The sequence below is a fragment of the Homo sapiens genome, chromosome 7 (assembly GCF_000001405.40).
Source record: "Homo sapiens chromosome 7, GRCh38.p14 Primary Assembly".
NCBI classification, from domain to species: Eukaryota; Metazoa; Chordata; class Mammalia; order Primates; family Hominidae; genus Homo; species Homo sapiens.
The window spans coordinates 158,096,090-158,115,965 of record NC_000007.14 but is presented as its reverse complement, the minus strand read 5'-3'; the positions used below and the strand labels follow the sequence as shown (position 1 = coordinate 158,115,965).

Sequence of the window (19,876 nt, the reverse complement as noted above, 5' to 3'; positions counted from 1 at the left end):
CGAACCAGGCTCCTTCCCTGTTCCATCTGAGGGTGGCACAGGGTGGAGTGTGAGGGATGGGCTCAGTGCAGACAGTTGAGGGCCCACCCAGTCTTGTCATATCTTCACCTGATGCCTTGAAGGCAACACAGACTCCGTGTGTTTGATGCTGACCTCAGGATCTTTCCTCTGTCCTGGGGCTGTCCTGAGTCCACTCGCAGTGCTATAACAAAGCACCATGGATGGGGCAGCTTAGAAGCAATAGGAATTTCTTCCTCACAATTCCAGGGGTTGGAATCCAGATGCCAGTAGATTTTTGGGTTCTTGGTGGAGGCACACTTCTGGGTTGCAGATGGCATTTTCTCACATGAAGGAAAAAGATCTACAGAGCCTCTTGTAGAGGGCACTGATCTCATTAGGAGACTCCACCCTCATGACCTGACCACCTCCCATAGGCCCCTCCTCCTCACACCTTCACCTTGGGGCTAAAGATTGGAACATACAGATTTTAGGGGTCACAATTAGTTCATAGCAGCCTGCTTCAGAAAACAGCATCTGCTCTGCTGTCCCTTCAACCCTGCAGAGCCCACCTTTCTCACTCACAGTTCTGAACACCTTACCCGCTGACACATCGCAGTCTATGACCATGTCCACTTCAGTCACCATTACCACGGTCCATGCTGCTTGAGCTCATGTCTCATTGAGACAATCTGGAGGCCACCAGCTGTTTCCCTTCTGTCTCCTCTGGTCTCCAACCTGTTCTTTATCCAGGGGAGGGAACTTTTGTTGTTGTTGTTGTTGTTATTTTGGATATGGGGTCTTGCTCTTTCACCCAGGCTGGGATGCAGTGGTTATTCACAGGTGCAATCATAGCTCATTGCAGCCTTGAGCTCCTGGACTCCAGTGATCTTGGCTCCTCAGCCTTCTGAGAAGCTGGGACCAGGAGAGTGGGACAGTGCCCTTGCCTAGGCCCTGTTGATAGCTCGCCATTGTATTTGGGATAAACTCCAATCCCTTAATGGGTGAGGAGCACCCATGTAGTTGGCTCCCTTCCTTCTAGCCATCCGTGCCTCCCCTGCCCCTTCTCTCAAGTTCTCTGAGTGACTGTGCTACCCGAGGGCATTTGCTTGCTGTTTCCATCCCTGCGTCTGCCTCTCGCGCTCTGTGCCTTAGACTAGTAACACGATCCATTCTCTCAGCCCTGTGGTAGTTCTTGGGGACCCTTCTGGGGCTCCCTTACCCCAGCCTGGACCAGGCTCCCATGTAGGCCCCAGGGCCGTGGCCGGTGGCTTCTCTTTTCCCTGGGGTTTGCCATGGGTTTTTTAATGCATATTCTTTACCGTTGTTCCTGCCAGATTAGAGGCTGCCGGGGGCCGCTGGCTCCTCCTCCTCTCTCATCTCTGCTTCCATAGCTCCTGGCTCAGCCTGGTACCACAAGTGCTCAGGAAGTATTTCTTAGATGAAGAGTAGAGCATTCCCGCGGCACGTCTTCCACATCCCTCCCAACTGATGTGTAGATTGCCTGAAGCTGAGCGACCTACGTTAGTCTAGGGTTGGAAGTCATGTGGCTTTGTTGCTGATTTTATGGTGTGGGAGTTTGGCCAAGGGGTTCCCAAAGCAGATGCCTGAACAAGTGTCAGCACCAGTGGGAACCCACGAGAAACACAGATTCCCAGGCCTGACCTGTGGCCTCCTGACTCCGAAACGCTGGAGGGTGGCTGGGGCATCTGCATTCCTGGTGAGTCCTTGGCCCATCCTGGTGAGTCCTTGGCCCACTCAGGTCCCAGAGCCCTGGACTGGGCAGGGAAGGCCTGTGGTACGTGGATGCAGCCTCACCTTTCCATTGCTGTAACCACTCCCAAACTGGACCAGCTGTCACCTTCACCTACAAAGGGTTTTTTTGTTTGGTTTGGTTTTTTTATTTTAAATACACTGTCCTGGGCTCCAGTTGCAGCCACACTGGCTGGGCAGGACAGGCATGGGCCTGGACACCCTCCCCAGGTGGCTCTGAGGGGTACCCAGATGTAGGGGCCACCGGTCTCCCTGGAGGTACCGGGCTTTTGGGACAGGCTCAGCCCCTGAGCTCAGATGTGGCTCCTCCCTGAGTGGAAGGCGGCCTGTGCCCCAGCTGGTCCCGGATTGCTACGTGCCTCGAAGTCCTGGCCAAGGATGGTAGGCTGTGTCCCTGGTGGCCACAACAACAGCTTGTAGCGTCGACGCCATCAGATGGCTTTCTTGTTGCAGGTGCGAGGCCCATGAGAATCCACCTCAATGCGTCTCTCTGTCCCCAGGAAGGATTCATAACCCCCAAGAACTACCCTCTCTCTCCAGCTAGTGCAGCTGCGCTCTGAGGCTAGACTAGTCACGGCATGCGCCTGCTCATGAGTCTGAATCTGCAGGCCCTGCTGAGGTCCTCTCCCCAAGGGGTCCCTGAGTGTAAGTCATGGATAGAGAATGCCTGGGGTCTCCAGCCCTGGTGCCAGTTCTGTTACCATTGTCCTACTCCTGCCTAAGGCCTCTGCCTGCTCTGGGCACACACAGCCATGCCCTACATCCAGCACCTTGTCTCATCACTCCTATCCCTATGCTAGCATCCTAGACGTCTTCCAGCTTAACAGAAACTGCCCCTCTTGCCCCCAGAACCCTGGGCAGCTCTTACAGTGTTGGCCCCATCTCTCCTTTCCTACTCTCCATCCCTCCAATGCTGAACAGGCTGCAGGTCCCTACAGCCTTGCAGAAGAGCTCCTGTGAGGTCAGCCCACAGCCATCATGACCCGCTAAGCTCGGCCTCAGCTCCCCATCCTCATCTCTCTGGACCAATCTGAGGCCCGGCCCTTCTCCTTCTTGGAATTCTTGCCAGCTCGCTGCTTGCCTCTGTCACAGTCCTTTTCATTCTCTTTTGCCAGTTCCCCTCATTGCCCTAAATGTTGGGGGGCCCTCAATGCTGGGGGGCCCTAAATGCCGGGGGGCCCTCAATGCTGGGGGATCCTAAATGCTGGGGGGCAAGGCTCCGTCTTAGGTGCTCCAGCTTCAGTCACCCTCCTGAGGCCAGTGAACACCTCTGGTCGTACAGCTCCCCGGTCTCGGCATTCATGATGCACTGCCCCCAGCACCCAGCCTGGACGCCCTGCTGTGGCCTCTGACCTCTGCACTCACAGGCACATCGCCCCTCAGTACCCAGCCTGGGCACCCTGCTGGGGCCTCTGACCTCTGCACACATGGATGCACTGCCCTCAGCACCCAGCCTGGATGCCCCGCTGGGGCCTTTGACCTCTGCACTGACAGACACGTCGCCCCTCAGCACCTAGCCTGGACGCCCTGCTGGGGTCCCCATGTCCACGTGTGCAGGATGTAAACTCCTGACTCTGTCAGCACCACTCCCAGCTGGGCCTTCCTGGGGCTTCTGCCCATCTTGTGTTTTCCCAGTGCCAGCGGACTCCACCGGCATGGCCTCAGATGTCCCTCCAGATCCCCAGGCTCCCCACCGGACAGCCGTGGTGGCCAGCTCAGGCCCCTGCCCCAGCTGACGGCCTCCTGCACTCGTCTCCAGGCCATGTCCACCCAGCTGCTCTGTGACTTCACCTCCTCACCATGTGGCACCGCGGCCCCCTTGCCTTCTCTGCTCACTGTCTGATACCCTGTTTCCAGCTCCTTCACCTCTGTTCAAACGGGGCCCCACTGGAGAGGCCTCCTATAGCCCACTTTACAAGACAGTCTCTCCTCTCTGCCCTTCCCTCCACAGCCCTGCATGCCACTTCTCTACCCAGCTGTCTCCTCCAGAGAACTTGTCAGCCGACAGGAGCTAGTCTGCCTGGGCTGCTGGCGCACACTTCCAAAGTGGGAAATCCATCTTCTCCCTGTCCTGGAGGCTGGAAGTCCAAGACCCAGGTGTGGGCAGGGCTGGTTCCCCTGAGGCTGAGGAGGGTCTGCTCCCAGCCTCGCCCCTGCTGCTACTGGCCTGAGATGACTTCAGCTTGTGGGTGGTTTCTCCCCATGTCTTTGCGACACCCTGTGCGTTTGTCTCTGAGTCCAAACCCTCCTTTTATACGGACACCAGTGATATTGGCTTAGGGTTCACCCTATTGACCTCAGCTTAACTAAATCTATGATAGCCCTATTTCCAAATCAGTTCACATTATTTGGGTTTTAGGATTTCAACATATGAATTTTTAGGTGACATAATTCAACCCATCATAGCATGATTGATTTCTATTCACCAGCATCTCTAGAATGTGAACCCCTCGAGGGCAGGGCTGGTCTTGCTGTTCATTGCTGTATTTGGAAGCAGCTCCTGGTGCCCTGCAGGCATCCTGCACGCTCACTGGATGAGGAATGCAGGCGTTTTGGTCTGCTGGGGTGAAAGCCTTTGCGGTACAACATGCTTTTACATAATATTGTAACTTAATACTCCATTAAAGTGGTACTAACAGGATTTCACAGGCAACTTGTGACTTTCAACCTGAATGCTGGCCTTCAGGATGAGTCATCAAGCTGCAAACCACCCTGGTGACGGCTCTTGCCTCTTGACGGACAGGTCCCCAGCCAGGTGGCCTTGTGGGGAGTCTGCGGCCACAGTGCCTTCCGGGAGTGCCCCCGCCCCCTGCCCTGAGTTGCTGCCAGTGGGCTGGCTGCCTGGTTTCCATGCTCACACTTCCATTGGGTAGTTAAATTGCCCCTCACTGGGGCCTGGTTCACATCAGAAATGAGCCCATTAAAAACAGATGCTTTCTCCATGGATCCGCCCCATCCTCAGTCAGAGTCCCAGCATCCGCCGCACCTGCCTGTCCCTTCTCCCTTCTCCCCTTTATTGTATTTTCACTGAAGGCTGAGAGGAGCCAGTCTCCACACGGTGGGCCACTTGCGATTCCCACAGCCCCGTCCGCACTGCACTGTTTGTCTTGTTGCTGGAAACTCAGGTGACTCCTTGTGCCTGAGGGGGCAGCTGACCCCAGGCCAGGAGAGCAGGGTGTGTGTGGGGACCAGGGAGCGGGGCTGTGGGGCCACAGGGCTTTAGTTCTCCAGGACTGCTGGCTCTGTGGTGACTGCTCCCCATCCCTGCTGTCATCCGCAGCCCCCTGCGCCCCGAGGAAGGAAGGCGGCTGGTGGAGGACGTCGCCCGCCTCCTGCAGGTGCCCAGCAGTGCGTTCGCTGACGTGGAGTAAGTACGGGGCCCTGGGGTTTCTGTTTGGCTCCTGTTGCTTGGTCGCAGAGACTGGGTGGGAGGGAAGGAGCTGCGAGCCCATGGCTCTTGTTAATTACATGAGGGAACCTGTTTAGAGAAGTGAAAGGTGATTTCAGCAGCTTTGGTAAGTTATTTAGAGGCAGTGGAAACCAGTGTTTAAGGGGAAGGATGAAAATCTCCTGAAGGACAGTGTCGCTGCAGCCAAGTGTCAAACCTTTGGTGCTGTAACCACCGAAGGCTCTAGAACATTCTGCACATGTCCTATGCCAATGTGTGGGAGCCTCTGGAGGGCCCACCCCAGAGAACACTGTGCAGCGTTCATGAGCACCTGCTGTGGACACGGCCCTGTCCCTGGCTGTCAGGAAAATGCGCTGCCCTTCGGAGACCTGGCTTTGGATCCCGAGTCTCTGCAGCTTCCATGGCAGGCATGGCCATGGTCTCAGCGTGACCTGGTTTAGAGAGTTGTGGGCATGAGGCATGCAGGGCTGGTGGGTGAGTACACACAGGGGCAGCCTCTTACCTGTCTCACGACAAGTGCTTGAGGAACCATGCGTGCATATGTGAAGCTTGGAGCAGAGATGGCTGAGTGCAGAAGCTGCAGGAGCTCCCACAGCGCACAGCTGGGTGTGGAGAGGTCAGAGAGAAGAGGGAGGGTAGAGTGACATCCACAGAGGACGTGAGACAAGAGGCCGGCCCGGGCTGTGTGCCCACCTGCCTGTGGACCGAGGGGTGCCTGCCTACACGTGTTGTTCACTCACTGGCCCCTTCACACGGGTGACATCATTCACTCACTGGTCCCTTCACACAGGGTGACTTCATTCACTCAGTGACTCTTCACACAGGTGACGTCATTCACTCACTGGCTCCCACAGAGTGACGTCATTCACTCACTGACTCTTCACACAGGGGTGACATCATTCACTCACTGTCCCCTTCACATAGGGGTGACGTCATTCACTCACTGACTCTTTACACGGGTGACATCATTCACTCACTGGCTCCCTCACACCGGGGTAACGTCATTCACTCACTGACGCTTCACACAGGGGTGATATCATTCACTCAGTGACTCATCACACAGGGGTGACGTCATTCACTCACTGTCTCCCTCACACAGGGGTGACATCACTCACTGAGCCTTTCACACAGGGGTGACATCATTCAGACACTCTTCACATGGGTGACGTCATTCACTCACTGGCTCCTACACGCAGGGTGATGTCATTCATTCACTGAGTCTTCACATAGGGGTGATGTCATTCACTCACTGGCTCCTTCACACAGGGTTGACGTCATTCACTCACTGGCCCCTTCACACAGGGGTGATGTCATTCACTCACTGTCTCTTTCACATATGGGGTGACATCATTCACTCACAGAGTCTTCACACAGGGGTGATGTCATTCACTCACTGTCTCCTTCACACAGGGGTGATGTCATTCACTCACTGTCTCCTTCACACAGGGGTGATGTCATTCACTCACTGTCTCCTTCACACAGGGGTGATGTCATTCACTCACTGTCTCCTTCACTCAGGAGTTATGTCATTCACTCACTGGCTCCTTCACACAGGGGTGACATCATTCACTCACTGAGTCTTCACACAGGGGTGATGTCATTCACTCACTGTCTCTTTCACACATGGGGTGATGTCATTCACTCACTGTCTCCTTCACTCAGGAGTGATGTCATTCACTCACTGGCTCCTTCACACAGGGGTGATGTCATTCACTCACGGTCTCCTTCACACAGGGGTGATGTCATTCATTCACTGTCTCCTTCACACAGTGGTGATGTCATTCACTCACTGACTCTTCACACAGGGCTGATGTCATTCACTCACTGGCTCCTTCACACAGGGTTGATGTCATTCACTCACTGGCCCCTTCACACAGGTTGACCTCGTTCACTCAGTGGCTCCTCACAGCAGATGCTCACTGGGCACCTGTGGCAACCTGGCCTCGCACCAGGAGCTGGGCATCCCCTTTGAGATACATGGGCCCTGCCTCAATTCTGCCATTTATTAGGAAAAGACAGAAGAGTGTATGGGTCATTAGCATGGAGGGCACTAGGGGACATGCATGAGAAGCACCCCAGCCAGCCTGGGATCAGAAGTTTCTAGAAGTAGAAATCTGAAGGACACATGGAGGCGTCCCAGAGAGAGATGTGACATGCAACTCCACACTGCTCACTGTGGCCCACACCGTTCCTAGGGTACAGACATATGCAATGAGCAGGTTCAAGGAAATGTCCATGGACAGGAAAGATGTGGAGGGACAGGGGGCTCCATACATGCCAGGGCTGCTGGGGTTTCCCTGAAATGGGGTGGTCCGGTGGGCAGGCCAGGTAGGACTGCTCAGCAGGGACAGAGAGGCCATTTAGGGACCCAGTATGTAGAGTGAGAGGACCCTACAGGGTGAACACAGTGAGATGGTCTGACTAGAGCTGAGAGAGAGCAGCCCTGAGGCCACCTGGGGAAGGTAAAGGAGGGAGCAGGTGCAAGGCGGGTGTGGTGGCAATGGGAGCACAGAGATCCAGGTGAGGGGGGGCTATTTGTGGGGCTATAGTGGGTGAGTGGGCTGTAGAGATCCAGGTGAGAGGTGGCAGGTGCATGGGGCTTTAATTGGCAGGCTCATGCAGACATCCAGGTGAGCAAAGGGTCACGTACTCAGGGCTGCAGTGGGCAGGTGGTTTGCAGAGATCCAGGTAAGAGTGGGACCAGGCACAGGGTGAATGCAGTAGGAAGGGGCTATGCTGAGATGCAGATGTTTTTTGGGGGGCAGGTGTGTGGGCCTGCAGTAGGCAGCAGAGGTGCAGAGATCCAGGTGAGGGAGGGGGCAGGTGCATCAAGTTGCAGTGGGCAGGGGACTTTCCCAGATCCATGTGAGAGAGGGGGCAGGTACATGGGCCTGCTGTGGGCAGACGGTGTGCAGGGATCCATGTGTGAGAGGGGGCAGGTGCAGGGCAGATGCAGATATCCACATGAAAGAGGGGGCATGTTCATGGGCTGCTGTGGGCAGGGGACACGAGAAGATGCAGGTGAGGGAAGAGAGCAGGTACAGCGTGACTGCAGTGGGTGGCCACTGGGTGACTTCTGCCTGGGAAGCAGGATTTGAAGAATTGTAGAAAGGCAGCTTCAAGGATGAGGGTAGATCTGAGTGCAAAGTGTGTGTTGATCTACACAGTGTGATGCCTGCCCATGGAAACAGGCAAGTAGGGCCTCAGGCAGAAGTCCTGGTGGCCCCTGGGCAGTCAAGTGTTTTCCCTGTGGCTCACAATGGGGAGGGCCTGTTGTTCCCAGAGTGGCCTGGGATGTTTGGGCATCTGGGGTTCTGGAGGTGGCGGGTGGGCAGGGGCTGCAGCTGTTTCCCACCTGGTAGGAAATACTTCAGTGTTTTAACTTCTGATGTGACTGAGGGTACTGGAAATGTATGGAGTGGCTTTCAGCACACCAGGGACTTAGGAGGGGGGAGGGTTTGAGGGAGCTTCCTAACAGGTTTGATTGATAGGTTTGTTTCAGGTACCTGGATGACTTCTAAGGGGTGCTGTCCAGGTGACTTAGGGGACAGATCTGGGTAGGTGTATATGACATAACCTTAATGTACAGTGGACAGCAAGATCCCAGTTTCTGATGGGATCAGGAGATGGAGGTAAGGGAAGAGAAGGGGGGCAGCAGCGATGTGGGGCACGTGGACCCTTAGGTGTATGTGAGAACAGAGACAAGTGTGCATGTTGGCACCACCTTGGTTTCTTGTGAGGTAGCTCCCAGTCAGTGTTTTGGGTTCCTAGGGAAGAAATATTAACTCTAGGGAAACCACACAGGACAGATTTCACAGAGGTTGAAAATAGAAGAAGCTCCCAAGACCTGAAAGAGCTGAGATGCTTCCAGGATCTTAAAATCTTCCTCTTTATGCTGAAGGAGAATTAGATAATCTGGTTTTATGGGATCCTGGGGAAGTGACTTTTCCTCTCTGGGCCATAGTTTTATATTTTGAAAATTAGAGGGGTTTGCCTACTTCATCTTTAGTGATTACTCAAGGATTAATCTTCTGTGAACCTGTGACCTGGGACACTAGTGAAAATCATGTAACAGGCACTCTATCACCTTCGGGGAGCAGGGCACAGATAGTGTGACAGGGTTATATCCCCAAGGGCAGACTCCACAGGTAGGCGTTTGTGTGGAGAGGCTCATTTCATCAGCCCCTGGAGACATCCTCTTTATCAGTGTTTTGGATATTCCCAAAGTGGCACACTTCTGAGCAGTGATAAACAGTGAGTCAGAAAAGGTGGAAATAGCTTCTTCCAGATGATACACGGAGGTGTGTGTGTGGAGGCAGGGAGGGAGCTAAGAAAGAAGCTGGAGCCAAGGATGGAGGTGATGGTGGAGCTTTGGAGGAAACTGCGCTGGAGCTGGGAGGGAGCAGAGGTGGAGGTTGGGATGGAACTCAAGAGAGAGGGAGATGAGCTGAGATGAAGCTCAGAAAGGAGCTGGAGATGCCACTTGTAAGGAATAAGGATAAAAATGAGATAGAGCAGAAATGGAGCTGGGGGGAAGCTAGAGGGAGCTGCGGGGAAGCTAGGTGGATGGGGCTGGGATGGACTGGGATAGAGCTAAGATAGATCAGGGAAGGAACTGGAAATGGAGATGGGATGAAGCTCAGAAAAAAAGCTGAGATGAATCTGAGGACAGAGCAGGATGGAGCTAGAATGGAGCAGTGATGATCTAGGATAGAGCTGAATGGAGTTGGAATGGAGATGGAAGGAGCTGGGAATAAAACAGAAGAGAGATGGGGATGGAATTCAGTGGAGCTGGATGAAGGAGGGGATGGAACTGGATGGAGCTGGGATGGAGCAGTGATAGAGCTGGGTATACAGTAGTATGGAGATGAGATGGAGTAGTGATGGAGCCGGGTATAGAGTAGTATGGAGATGGGATGAAGCTGGGTGGAGCTGCAATGGAGCTGGATGGGGCTGCATGGCGTAAGATGGAGCTAGGATGGAAATTGATGGAGATAAGGATAAAGCAGGGCATGCATCTGGATGGAACTGGATGGAGATACAATGGAGATGGATAGAGCTGGGATGGATTTGTGGATGGAGATGAGGTGGAGCTGGGATGGAGGTGGATGGAGCTCCATGGTCTGGGATAGAGTTGATGAATCTGGATGGAAGTCTATGGAGCTTGGTTCAGCTTGGGATGGAGTAGGGATGGATAGGAATGGAGCTGGATGGAAGTTCATGGAGCTGGGGATTATTGAAGCCTTGGATGTACCTGGGGTAGAGCTGGGATGGAATCTGCTGTAGCTGAGTGGAGATGGGATGGAGCTGGGATGAGGGTGAAGCTAGGGTGGAGTTTGATGGAGCTCAGTGGAGTTGGGATGGAGCTGGGATGGAGTTTGACGGAGCTGAGCACAGTTGGGATGGAGCTAGGATGAGGATGGAGCTCGGATGCAGTTCAGTGAAACTGAGTGGAATTGGGATAGAGTTGGGATGGAGCTGAGGGTGGAGTTGGGATGGAGTTTGATGGAGCTGAGTGGAGTTGGGATGGAGCTGAGGGTGGAGTTGGGATGGAGTTTGATGGAGCTGAGTGGAGTTGGGATGGAGCTGAGGGTGAAGCTAGGGTGGAGTTTGATGGAGCTGACTGGAGTTGAGATAAAGCTGAGGATGGAGCTGGGATGGAGTATGATGACACTTAGTAGGGTTGGGAAGGAGCTGAGGATGGAGCTGGGATGGAGTTTGATAGAGCTGAGTGGAGTTGGGAAGGAGCTGAGAGTGGAGCTGGGATGGAGTTTGATGGAGCTGGGATGGAGTTTGATGGAGCTGAGTGGAGTTCTGATGGAGTTTGGATAAGGGTGGAGCTGGGATGGAGTTTGATGGAGCTGTGTGGACTTGGGATGGAGCTGAGGGTGGAGCTGGGATGGAGTTTGATGGAGCTGAGTAGAGTTGGGAAGGAGCTGAGGGTGGAGCTGGGATGGAGTTTGATGGAGCTGTGTGGAGTTGGGATGGAGCTGAGGGTGGAGCTGGGATGGAGTTTGATGGAGCTGAGTGGAGTTGGGAAGGAGCTGAGGATGGAGCTGGGATGGAGTTTGATGGAGCTGAGTGGAGTTGGGATAGTGCTGAGGATGGAGCTGCGGTTGGTGCTGGTTGGAGCTGGGATGGATTTTGGGATGGAGCTGGGATGGTTGTGATCATGGGTGGTTGTTGGCTCTTCCTCAAGCTCTCCTCCACTACTGACAAGGCCTCCATCAGTCCTGTTCTCTCTCTTTTCTCCCTTCTGTTCTCCTCTCTGTCCCTGCCTAGGTGAGCCCTATAGTCTTCATCTCCTTTTTCATCTTGTGAGGGGCCCTGCTGCTGATCTTGGTGTCTTACTATTTCCTCATCTATGACTTTTTTATCCATCCACAAATCCCTGATTTTCACAGCGGTATCTTTGCTCTTAAGTTGTCTTGATTCTTATGTGTCTTCCAGGGCCTTTCTCAGGAGTCTTTGAGCCTGAGATTCACCTGACCTCCATTGTCTTCATCCTGGCCTTCCTCAGGCCTTCTGATGCCTCAGACTGCTCTGGGGAGGGCATAGTGAGGAAGCACAGAAAAGAAATCTCAGGCAGGATGCCCTGATGCTCCATTGCCTTAAATCTGTCTCTAGGCCAGGCACGGTGGCTCATGCCTGTAATCCCAGAACTTTGGGAGGCTGAGGCGGGTGGATCATGAGCTCAGGAGTTCAGGACCAGCCTGGCCAAAATGGTGAAACCCCATCTCTACTTAAAAATACAAAAATTAGTCGGGCATGGTGGCAGGTGCCTGTAATCCCAGCTACTTGGGAGGCTGAGGCAGAGAATTGCTTGAACCCGGGAGGCAGTTGTTGCAGTGAGCTGAGATCGCGCCACTGCACTCCAGCCTGGGCAACAGAGCAAGACTCCATCTCAAAAAAAAAAAATAATAATAATCTGTCTCTAAGAACCAGAAGGAAATGTGTCCAGGCTGCTAACCATCATGGGCTGAGTGGGATGATCTGACTTCATGGGCATTACAAAGAGCAGTGTGCTGTGGCCCCCGACACCATTGGTGTCCATCACATCAAGTGGGGGCCTGCACTGACCTGGCACAGAGCAGGACATGTAAGAAGGGGAACACTCATCCCTGCCCCTGAGCTGTTTGAAACCTGGCTCATGAGACAAACAAATCGGACAGTGCTAGAGAAGGTTCTGGAACTGCCAGTGACCTCAGACATTCTGAGTACAACTCATGCTAGGGAAGTGAGGCTGGAGAGGAAGGGAATCTCCTGGGGCCCAGAGAGTGGGCCCTGCCTCGGACATCGCTGCTCCATGGGCACAGCCACGTTAGTCCAGAAAGTGCAGTTTTCCTGATGGTCTTTGAGTCTCACCTGTGTGCAGGGCTCTTCGCGTTCTTTTTCCTACTGCTGTTATTTTAAGGCTTTTTACCTCTTACTTTGAACTGGAAGGAGCCACCTGCCATCAAGTGTCCTGAATGGTTCAAACTGCATTCCTTTCCACGAAGGATTCCATCCCAGGCCTGTATCTTTGGCACTATCCCTCCCTATGGCCCCCAGGAAGGCGCCTAGTTTTAGGACTCAGGAACTCATCGTGGGCCCAGGCCATGCGCACAGGGAGGATGAGGCCACAGGTGGTAAGTGGGAGCCTCACACTGACTGCAGCCAATGACCGCAGGCCCTTTGTTCTAGGTGCTCACGCCTGCTTCTGCTGTCAGACAGGGACGGGTGCATGTCTGGACACCCAGGCCTTACTGGGTCCTGCTGATGGCTTATTTCAGAAGGAGGGGTTCCCCATGGACTGATGCCCCAGCTCCTGTCCCGTCAGGCTCCCTGTCTAGGACTCAGCTCTGATGCCGCTGAGGAGCATGAGGTACTGTCCTGGGGGTGTGTCCTCCCGGGTCTGCAGTGCCTTCCCTGCACCGTGGCCCCCAGAACATTAGCCGTGTGCTGTCTTTCTCCCCAGACCATCAGCTCCTCAGTGCCTATCTATGTCCTGAACCCGGCTCAGTGACTGCAGAGAAGTGTGCAAGTGCACACTTGCATCTTAAGTGCAAGTGTGATTCAAGCGTGATGCAATGAGTCCTTGAACAACAAAGGCCTCATCCCTCCAACACCCGCAAAGCTGCAGGCCCATCCCACACCCCCTTCTGCCTCTCTCCATATATCAAATACATGGGGCATGCTCTGTGATTCTGCAGCCCTGGGAAACTCACCTGTTGCTGCCAAGGCCCACAATTACTGATGAACGTGTGGAGGTGTGGATGCCTCCTTAGTTAAAAGTGAGATTGTCCTCAGGGACATTTGAGGGCCATGGAAAAGAAGCAGCCTGGGTACCATGAGAGGTGCCTCCATGAGCAGCAGGGCGGCCTGGAGCCATGGGAGGGAGGAAGCTGTTGCACCCAGACACATAACTGAGATAATTGGGCAGAGGGCAGGCAGTCACAAGAGGTGGCTTTGGAATAAAGCATCCTCGGGCCAGCTCGGGATGCGTGCATTGAGTTTACCATATTTTCCTCTGGCAAAGCCCTTCTGTGGTGGCTGTCCAGCACGTGGAAGGCCGTGGCTCAGGCGCACAGGGGCTCAGTGTTTTCTGAAGGTTCCCTCCTGGCCGCCCTGCTGCTGATGGCTGCCATGCACTGTTAGCATCATGGCTCCAGGGTGAAGGCGTGGGCTGAGGGCTGCCTGGCACCTGGGCTCAGTGCCTGCCACATGGGTCCAGTTTGCGATCTGGGGCTTGGGAGAGGAACCACTTCATCCTCAGGACAGGAGAGGGGCCCCAGGGTCAGCTGCAAGCTCCATGGCTGCTCACTGTGAGCAGATCCTGGGACCTCAGGGCCCACCGTGGCGTAGTGACGGGCAGAGATGGGCCTGCCGCTGCTCACTGCTTTGGCCATCTCTGCCCTCCCCCAGTAACATCCCCTGGGAGAGGGTGGGCCAGAATGAAGAAGGGAGGAGTGGTTGGCCACATGGCCAACAGCTGGACGGTCAGGGTGGCCAGGGGCTTTGCTGTCCACACTGATTGGAGCAGACCTGAGGCTGACGGGTGCACTACTGTGCTGGGTGAGATTTTCTTAAATACCAGGTGGGATTTCTTTTAAAGTCTCCATGGCTTTCATGGTGAGCTGGGTTTTAAACTCTTTTGGTGCAATGGAAGGTGTGAGGTCTTTCTTTGTATACAGTGGGATTGTTTGGGCTAGATGACTGGAAGAAGGAATGAGTTTATTCTGCTGATTGTTTCTTTTGCTGTGCAGAAACTTTTTAGTTTAAGTCCCAGCTATTTATCATTGTTTTTGTTGCATTTGCTATTGGGTTCTTTGTCATGAAGTCTTTGCCTAAGCCAATGTCTGGAAGAGTTTTTCCAATGCTATTTCCTAGAAATTTTATGGTTTCAGGTCTTAGATTTAAGTCCTTGATCCATCTTGAGTTGATTTTTGGATAAGGGGAGAGATGAGGATCCAGTTTTATTCTTCTACATGTGGCTTGCCAATTATCCCAGCACCATTTTTGACTAGAGTGTCCTTTCCCCACTTTGTTTTTGTTTGCTTTATCGAAGATCAGTTGGCTGTTAAGTAGTTGAGTTTATTTCTGGGTTCTCTATTCTGTTCCATTGGTCTGTGTGCCTATTTTTATACCAGTACCATGCTGTTTTGGTGACTATAGCCTTATAGAATAGTTTGAAGTCAGGTAATGTGATGCCTCCAGGTTGTTCTTTTTGCTTAGTCTTGCTTTGGCTATGCAGGCTCTTTTTTGGTTCCATATGAATTTTAGGATTGTCTTTTCTGGTTCTGTGAAGAATGATGGTGGTATTTTGATGGGGATTGGATTGAATTTGTAGATTGCTTTTGGCAGTACGGTCATTTTCACAATATTGATTCTACCCATCCATGAGCATGGGATGTGTTTCCATTTGTTTGCGTCATCTGTGATTTCTTTCAGCAGTATACAGACAACCCAAAGAGTGAGAAAAAATCTTCATGATCTATATATCCGACAAAAGACTAATATCCAGACTCTACAAAGAACTCACATTAGCAAGAAACAAACAGTCCCATCAAACAATGGGCTAAAGACATGAATAGACAATTCTTGAAAGAAGATATACAAATGGCCAACAAACATATGAAAAAATGCCCAACATCACTAATGATCAGGGAAATGCAAATCGAAACCACAATGTTATACCACCTTACTCCTGCAAGATTGGATATAATCAAAAAATCAAAAAACAGTAGATGCTGGTGTGGATGTGGTGAACAGGGAACACTTCTACACTGCTGGTGGGAGTGCAAACTAGCACAGCCACTATGGAAAACAGTGTGGAGATTCCTTAAAGAACTAAAAGAACTACCATTTGATTCAGCAATCCCACTGCTGGGTATCTACCTGGAGGACAAGAAGTCATTATACGAGAAAGATATTTGCACACACGTTTATAGCAGCACAATTTGCAATTGCAAAAATATGGAACCAACCCAAATGCCCATCAATCAATGAGTAGATAAAGAAATCGTGGCACACACACACACACACACACACACACACACACACCCCATGGAATACTATTCAGCCATAAAAAGGAATGAAATAATGGCATTCACAGCAAGCTGGATGGAACTGGAGACTATTATTCTAAATGAAGTAACTCAGGAATGGAAAACCAAACATCATATGTTCTCACTCATAAGTGGGAGCTGAGCTATGAGGATGTGAAGGCTTAAGAATGACATAAGGACTTTGGAGACTCAGGGAAAAGGGTGGCAGGAGGGTGCACCAAAATCTCACACATCACCATTAGAGAACTTACTCATGTAACTCAACACTGCCTGTTCCCAAAACCTATGGAAAATAAAAATAAATAAAGAAGGAATAAGTTTATTTCATGAACACAATGATCCTTATGAGGGAGGAGTGGGGAGAGGAAGTGAAGCATGACCACTGATGGGATGGGGGGAGGAAGAGGAGGCAGCCGGGATGTGTTGGGGGGAGGAAGGGGAGGCAGCCGGGATGTGTTGGGGGGAGGAAGGGGAGGCAGCCGGGATGTGGTGGGAGGAAGGGGAGGCAGCCGGTGATGTGGGGGGAGGAAGGGGAGGCAGCCGGGATGTGTTGGGGGGAGGAAGGGGAGGCAGCCGGGGATGGGGGGAGGAAGGGGAGGCAGCCGGGATGTTGGGGGAGGAAGGGGAGGCAGCCGGGATGTGTTGGGGGGAGGAAGGGGAGGCAGCCGGGATGTGTTGGGGGGAGGAAGGGGAGGCAGCCGGGATGTTGGGGGAGGAAGGGGAGGCAGCCGGGATGTGGGGGGAGGAAGGGGAGGCAGCCGGGATGTGTTGGGGGGAGGAAGGGGAGGCAGCCGGGATGTTGGGGGAGGAAGGGGAGGCAGCCGGGATGTGGGGGGAGGAAGGGGAGGCAGCCGGGATGTGTTGGGGGGAGGAAGGGGAGGCAGCCGGGATGTTGGGGGAGGAAGGGGAGGCAGCCGGGATGTGGGGGGAGGAAGGGGAGGCAGCCGGGATGTGGGGGGAGGAAGGGGAGGCAGCCGGGATGTGGTGGGAGGAAGGGGAGGCAGCCGGGATGTGGGGGGAGGAAGGGGAGGCATCCGGGATGTGGGGGGAGGAAGGGGAGGCACCCGGGATGTGTTGGGGGGAGGAAGGGGAGGCAGCCGGGTTGTGGGGGGAGGAAGGAGAGGCCTCCGGGATGTGGGGGGAGGAAGGGGAGGCAGCCGGGATGTTGGGGGAGGAAGGGGAGGCAGCCGGGATGTGTTGGGGGGAGGAAGGGGAGGCAGCCGGGATGTGTTGGGGGAGGAAGGGGAGGCAGCCGGGATGCGGAACCCAGGAATGAGGCCAGAGAAGAAGTGGGTCTTCAAGGCTGAGAAGCCCGGCTCCCCTCAAGGACCCAGGAACGCTGCACCCCGCACTGTCACCTTCTACCATCTTCTCCGGCCCTCCCCGCGGCCCCGTTCCCCGTCCCCCACTGCTTCCTTGCTTTCTCGCTTTCTCCCCAGCTCCTCGGTGGTCACGCTTTGCTTCATGTCTCCCACTCCTCTCCCATAAGGAGCGTCCCGCGTTCACGAGATAAACGTCCTTCTTCTTCCAGTCCCCGAGCCCAAGCAACCCCATTCACCTTCACAGAGTCTCAGCAAAATGGTGGGACTGGCAGATGCCAGGCCGGGGCGGGCGAGGGAGGCGTGTGCCTCGGGGAGCCTCTGGTTTCACAGAGCAGCTGGGCCTCGCCCGTGCCTGCTCCCTGCCCCTGGCCCTCCTGGCCACCGCCTTCGCTGTCGGAAGACGGATTCTGAGCACGGACGGCTTCTCCGCATTCCGGGAGCAGGGCTGGGCTTTGCCAGGCTCAGTCCTGGGTAAGCGTCACCCTCGGGCATCTCCCGCCTTAGGACACTGGCGGCCCCCTCTTTCCTACAGAGTCAAACCTGAGTCCCGCCGCCCGTCCCTCGGAGCCTTCGGGAATCTGGACCTCTCCACCTCCTCCCCAGGGAGCCCCCCCGGTGGCCTCACCCGCAGGATCCTTTGCGGGTCCCCTGCCCACATTGCGGAGCTGAAGCCTGATTCTTGCTGCGTCCAGCGCTTCTCCGAGGTCCCCAGTCCTGGCCAGGCAGAGGCTGCCCCACGCTGGGTCTTGAGTTCTGGTGCCTGCGTGCGTGTGTGCTCATGTGCAGGGGACCACGCAAGCCTTACTTCCACGTCCTGTGCCTCACCCGGGCCCAGCAGCCACGGGCACACACTTGGCAAATGCACCGGCTCGAGGGACGGACGGGGGTGTGGGCTGTGCCTCGTTGGTGTCTCGAGGGGAGCAGCTCTGACAGGCGGGAGACACGGCCACGCGGTGCTGCCTGTCAGAGCATGTTCTGGGAGCTGCTCATTGTTCCGGGAAAGGAAAAGAGGCGGACAGGATGCGCAAGCTGTCACTCTCAGACTCTCCTGCGGTTTTGTGGAAGTGCTAGTTATGCTGAATATGTTTTGTTAGTGGTTATGTAGCTGTCACATAAATCCCATTATTTCTTATGACATCATTAGAGACCATTAAAACTGCATTAGCATGTGATGTAATTATGCCAGCAGACCGGCAGTGACCGCAGCCGGGTTTTTACGACGTGATTGTGGCTGTCTGCGGCGGCGGTGATCGATGCCAGGCCGCCTTCCGCGGAATCTCGGGGAGGTGGGCAGTGCTCCTGGGAAAAAGGATGCCAAAGACACATTCCCACGAGCCCCTGAGTCCACAGTGAGACGGGCTCTGTGACAGTTCTCTTCCAGATGGCTTCGGTGGAGCTCCCACATCAGCCACGAGGACCGCCGGGGCATTCGGGGCACGCAGCCTAATTCTGTGATCAATCTTCATGTGCTCTCCTGGTGGGAGAAGCGTTTACTTTCTCATCTGTGTGATTTACTGGATTGATGAATACGGTGTTATTACCGAAGAGGCAGCAGTGGGAATTCTCAACCCTGATGCTTCTTGTTGGGGTCTTCTCTGTGCACGGGGCGCGGGAGGTGCCTGTGCCTGCTCGATCCTGTGACAACCCCAGTGCTGCCCGGGCCCCTCCACCTCCTTCCCCAGTGCCTGCCCCTCTCCCACCCTGCCAGTGGGAGAAGTCCCTGGGGTTTGCCGGGAAACTTCTGGAAAGTATGTTTCAGTTTCCGGGGGCAGAGTTGTGATTGTTTTGCCCCTAGTCTTGTCCCCATGCATAGGGGATTTACAAAGATGTTGTAGGCAGCAGGAATCCTGTGAGGGGTGAGAATGGTCCTTCATTCCCTGGGTTGGCTCTCTGGTTTTCCCTGTGGCCTCGATGACTATAAAGCCCTGGATAATTTTGTCTACACATCAGGGCAGTGCAGATTAACCACTGCAGCGACAGTGCTGTGCGTTAGTAATATCACTCAAAGCCAAGAGCCCCCGCAGTGAGAAACTCCCAGGAGCCCCAGGGGAGGGTCTGGGTAAATGGCATTTGCATCTGGATGTGGTGTATCCACCACCTGCAGACTCCGGCCCTCACGGGCAATGTTGCTACCTGTTTCACCTGTGTTCTGGATTTGCCAAGTGAGGAAGGTGGGGAATGGGGCCTCATGTTATGTAACTCTCCTTCCCAAACGGAGCCCAGGCTTCGTCTTCAGTGCCCTGTCTGAATATTACAAGCAGTTGCAAAGGTGCAAGCTAGTGTCTCGAGACAGTGACATGAGGTTTTCCTGGAAATAAGGAATGTCAAGGAAATGTCACAGTACGTCAAAACTCCCCGTCCCGTCTTTAAGATGAGACAACAAGGGAAGGCCACTGTGGATTTGCAAATAATAATTCTGTTTGAGTGAAAGGTGGCATTTCTCAGGTTAAGTGAATCCCATGATTTGATTAAAGATATTTGTGTTTAAAATATTGGTGGAGCCTTGTTTCCTAGTATGAAATGATATGACCATTTAGGAGGAGAGCAGTTTCCTTATTTTCCTGAGCCTCAGTTTCCCCACAAGGATGGAGGTGGCCTGGGCATGTGGCTGAGACCCGGCTCTTAGAGGCCCCACACATGGTTCATGCTTTGCTGGTACCATCTTGAGACTCTTACAATTCTTCAACAAAGGGCCCCACAAATTATGTATACGGCTGTGAGGCCATGACAGGGTTGGAGAGACTCTAGGAAAAACTAGAATAACGTCTGCTGTGGAGGTTTGCAATACATGTTAGCTGGACAATTGCGCTATTTCATTGCTGTTAGGA

The 19,876-nt window shown here is 53.9% G+C and overlaps 1 protein-coding gene across 14 annotated transcripts in view, besides 3 other annotated features; it reads left to right on the top strand.

The window, feature by feature from the left end:
• The window catches only part of PTPRN2 (protein tyrosine phosphatase receptor type N2), a 1,048,768-nt gene that overhangs the window by 471,858 nt on the left and 557,034 nt on the right, over window positions 1-19,876 (top strand). For 9 of the 14 annotated variants that reach the window (NM_130842.4, NM_001308267.2, NM_002847.5 and 6 more), the window contains one exon: window positions 5,051-5,137. The exons of 4 other annotated variants lie outside the window; for them this stretch is intronic. In NM_130842.4, coding sequence (NP_570857.2) covers window positions 5,051-5,137 — 87 coding nt within the window. Of the gene's footprint in view, window positions 1-5,050; window positions 5,138-15,109; window positions 16,041-19,876 lie in introns of those variants that run through there. One more of the 14 variants, XM_011516449.3, reaches the window with a different exon arrangement.
• Window positions 3,500-4,001: an enhancer, noted in NCBI's record as "H3K4me1 hESC enhancer chr7:157904657-157905158 (GRCh37/hg19 assembly coordinates)". NCBI's record gives its function as "activates a minimal SCP1, AML or CMV promoter by ChIP-STARR-seq in primed H9 embryonic stem cells {active_cell/tissue: H9 hESC(primed)}" and the evidence as "EXISTENCE:reporter gene assay evidence [ECO:0000049][PMID:30033119]".
• Window positions 4,416-5,147: an enhancer, noted in NCBI's record as "H3K4me1 hESC enhancer chr7:157903511-157904242 (GRCh37/hg19 assembly coordinates)". NCBI's record gives its function as "activates a minimal SCP1, AML or CMV promoter by ChIP-STARR-seq in primed H9 embryonic stem cells {active_cell/tissue: H9 hESC(primed)}" and the evidence as "EXISTENCE:reporter gene assay evidence [ECO:0000049][PMID:30033119]".
• Window positions 6,075-6,369: an enhancer, noted in NCBI's record as "tiled region #5343; HepG2 Activating non-DNase unmatched - State 15:Elon, and K562 Activating DNase matched - State 9:DNaseU". NCBI's record gives its function as "activates a minimal TATA promoter and a strong SV40 promoter by Sharpr-MPRA in HepG2 and K562 cells {active_cell/tissue: HepG2 | K562}" and the evidence as "EXISTENCE:reporter gene assay evidence [ECO:0000049][PMID:27701403]".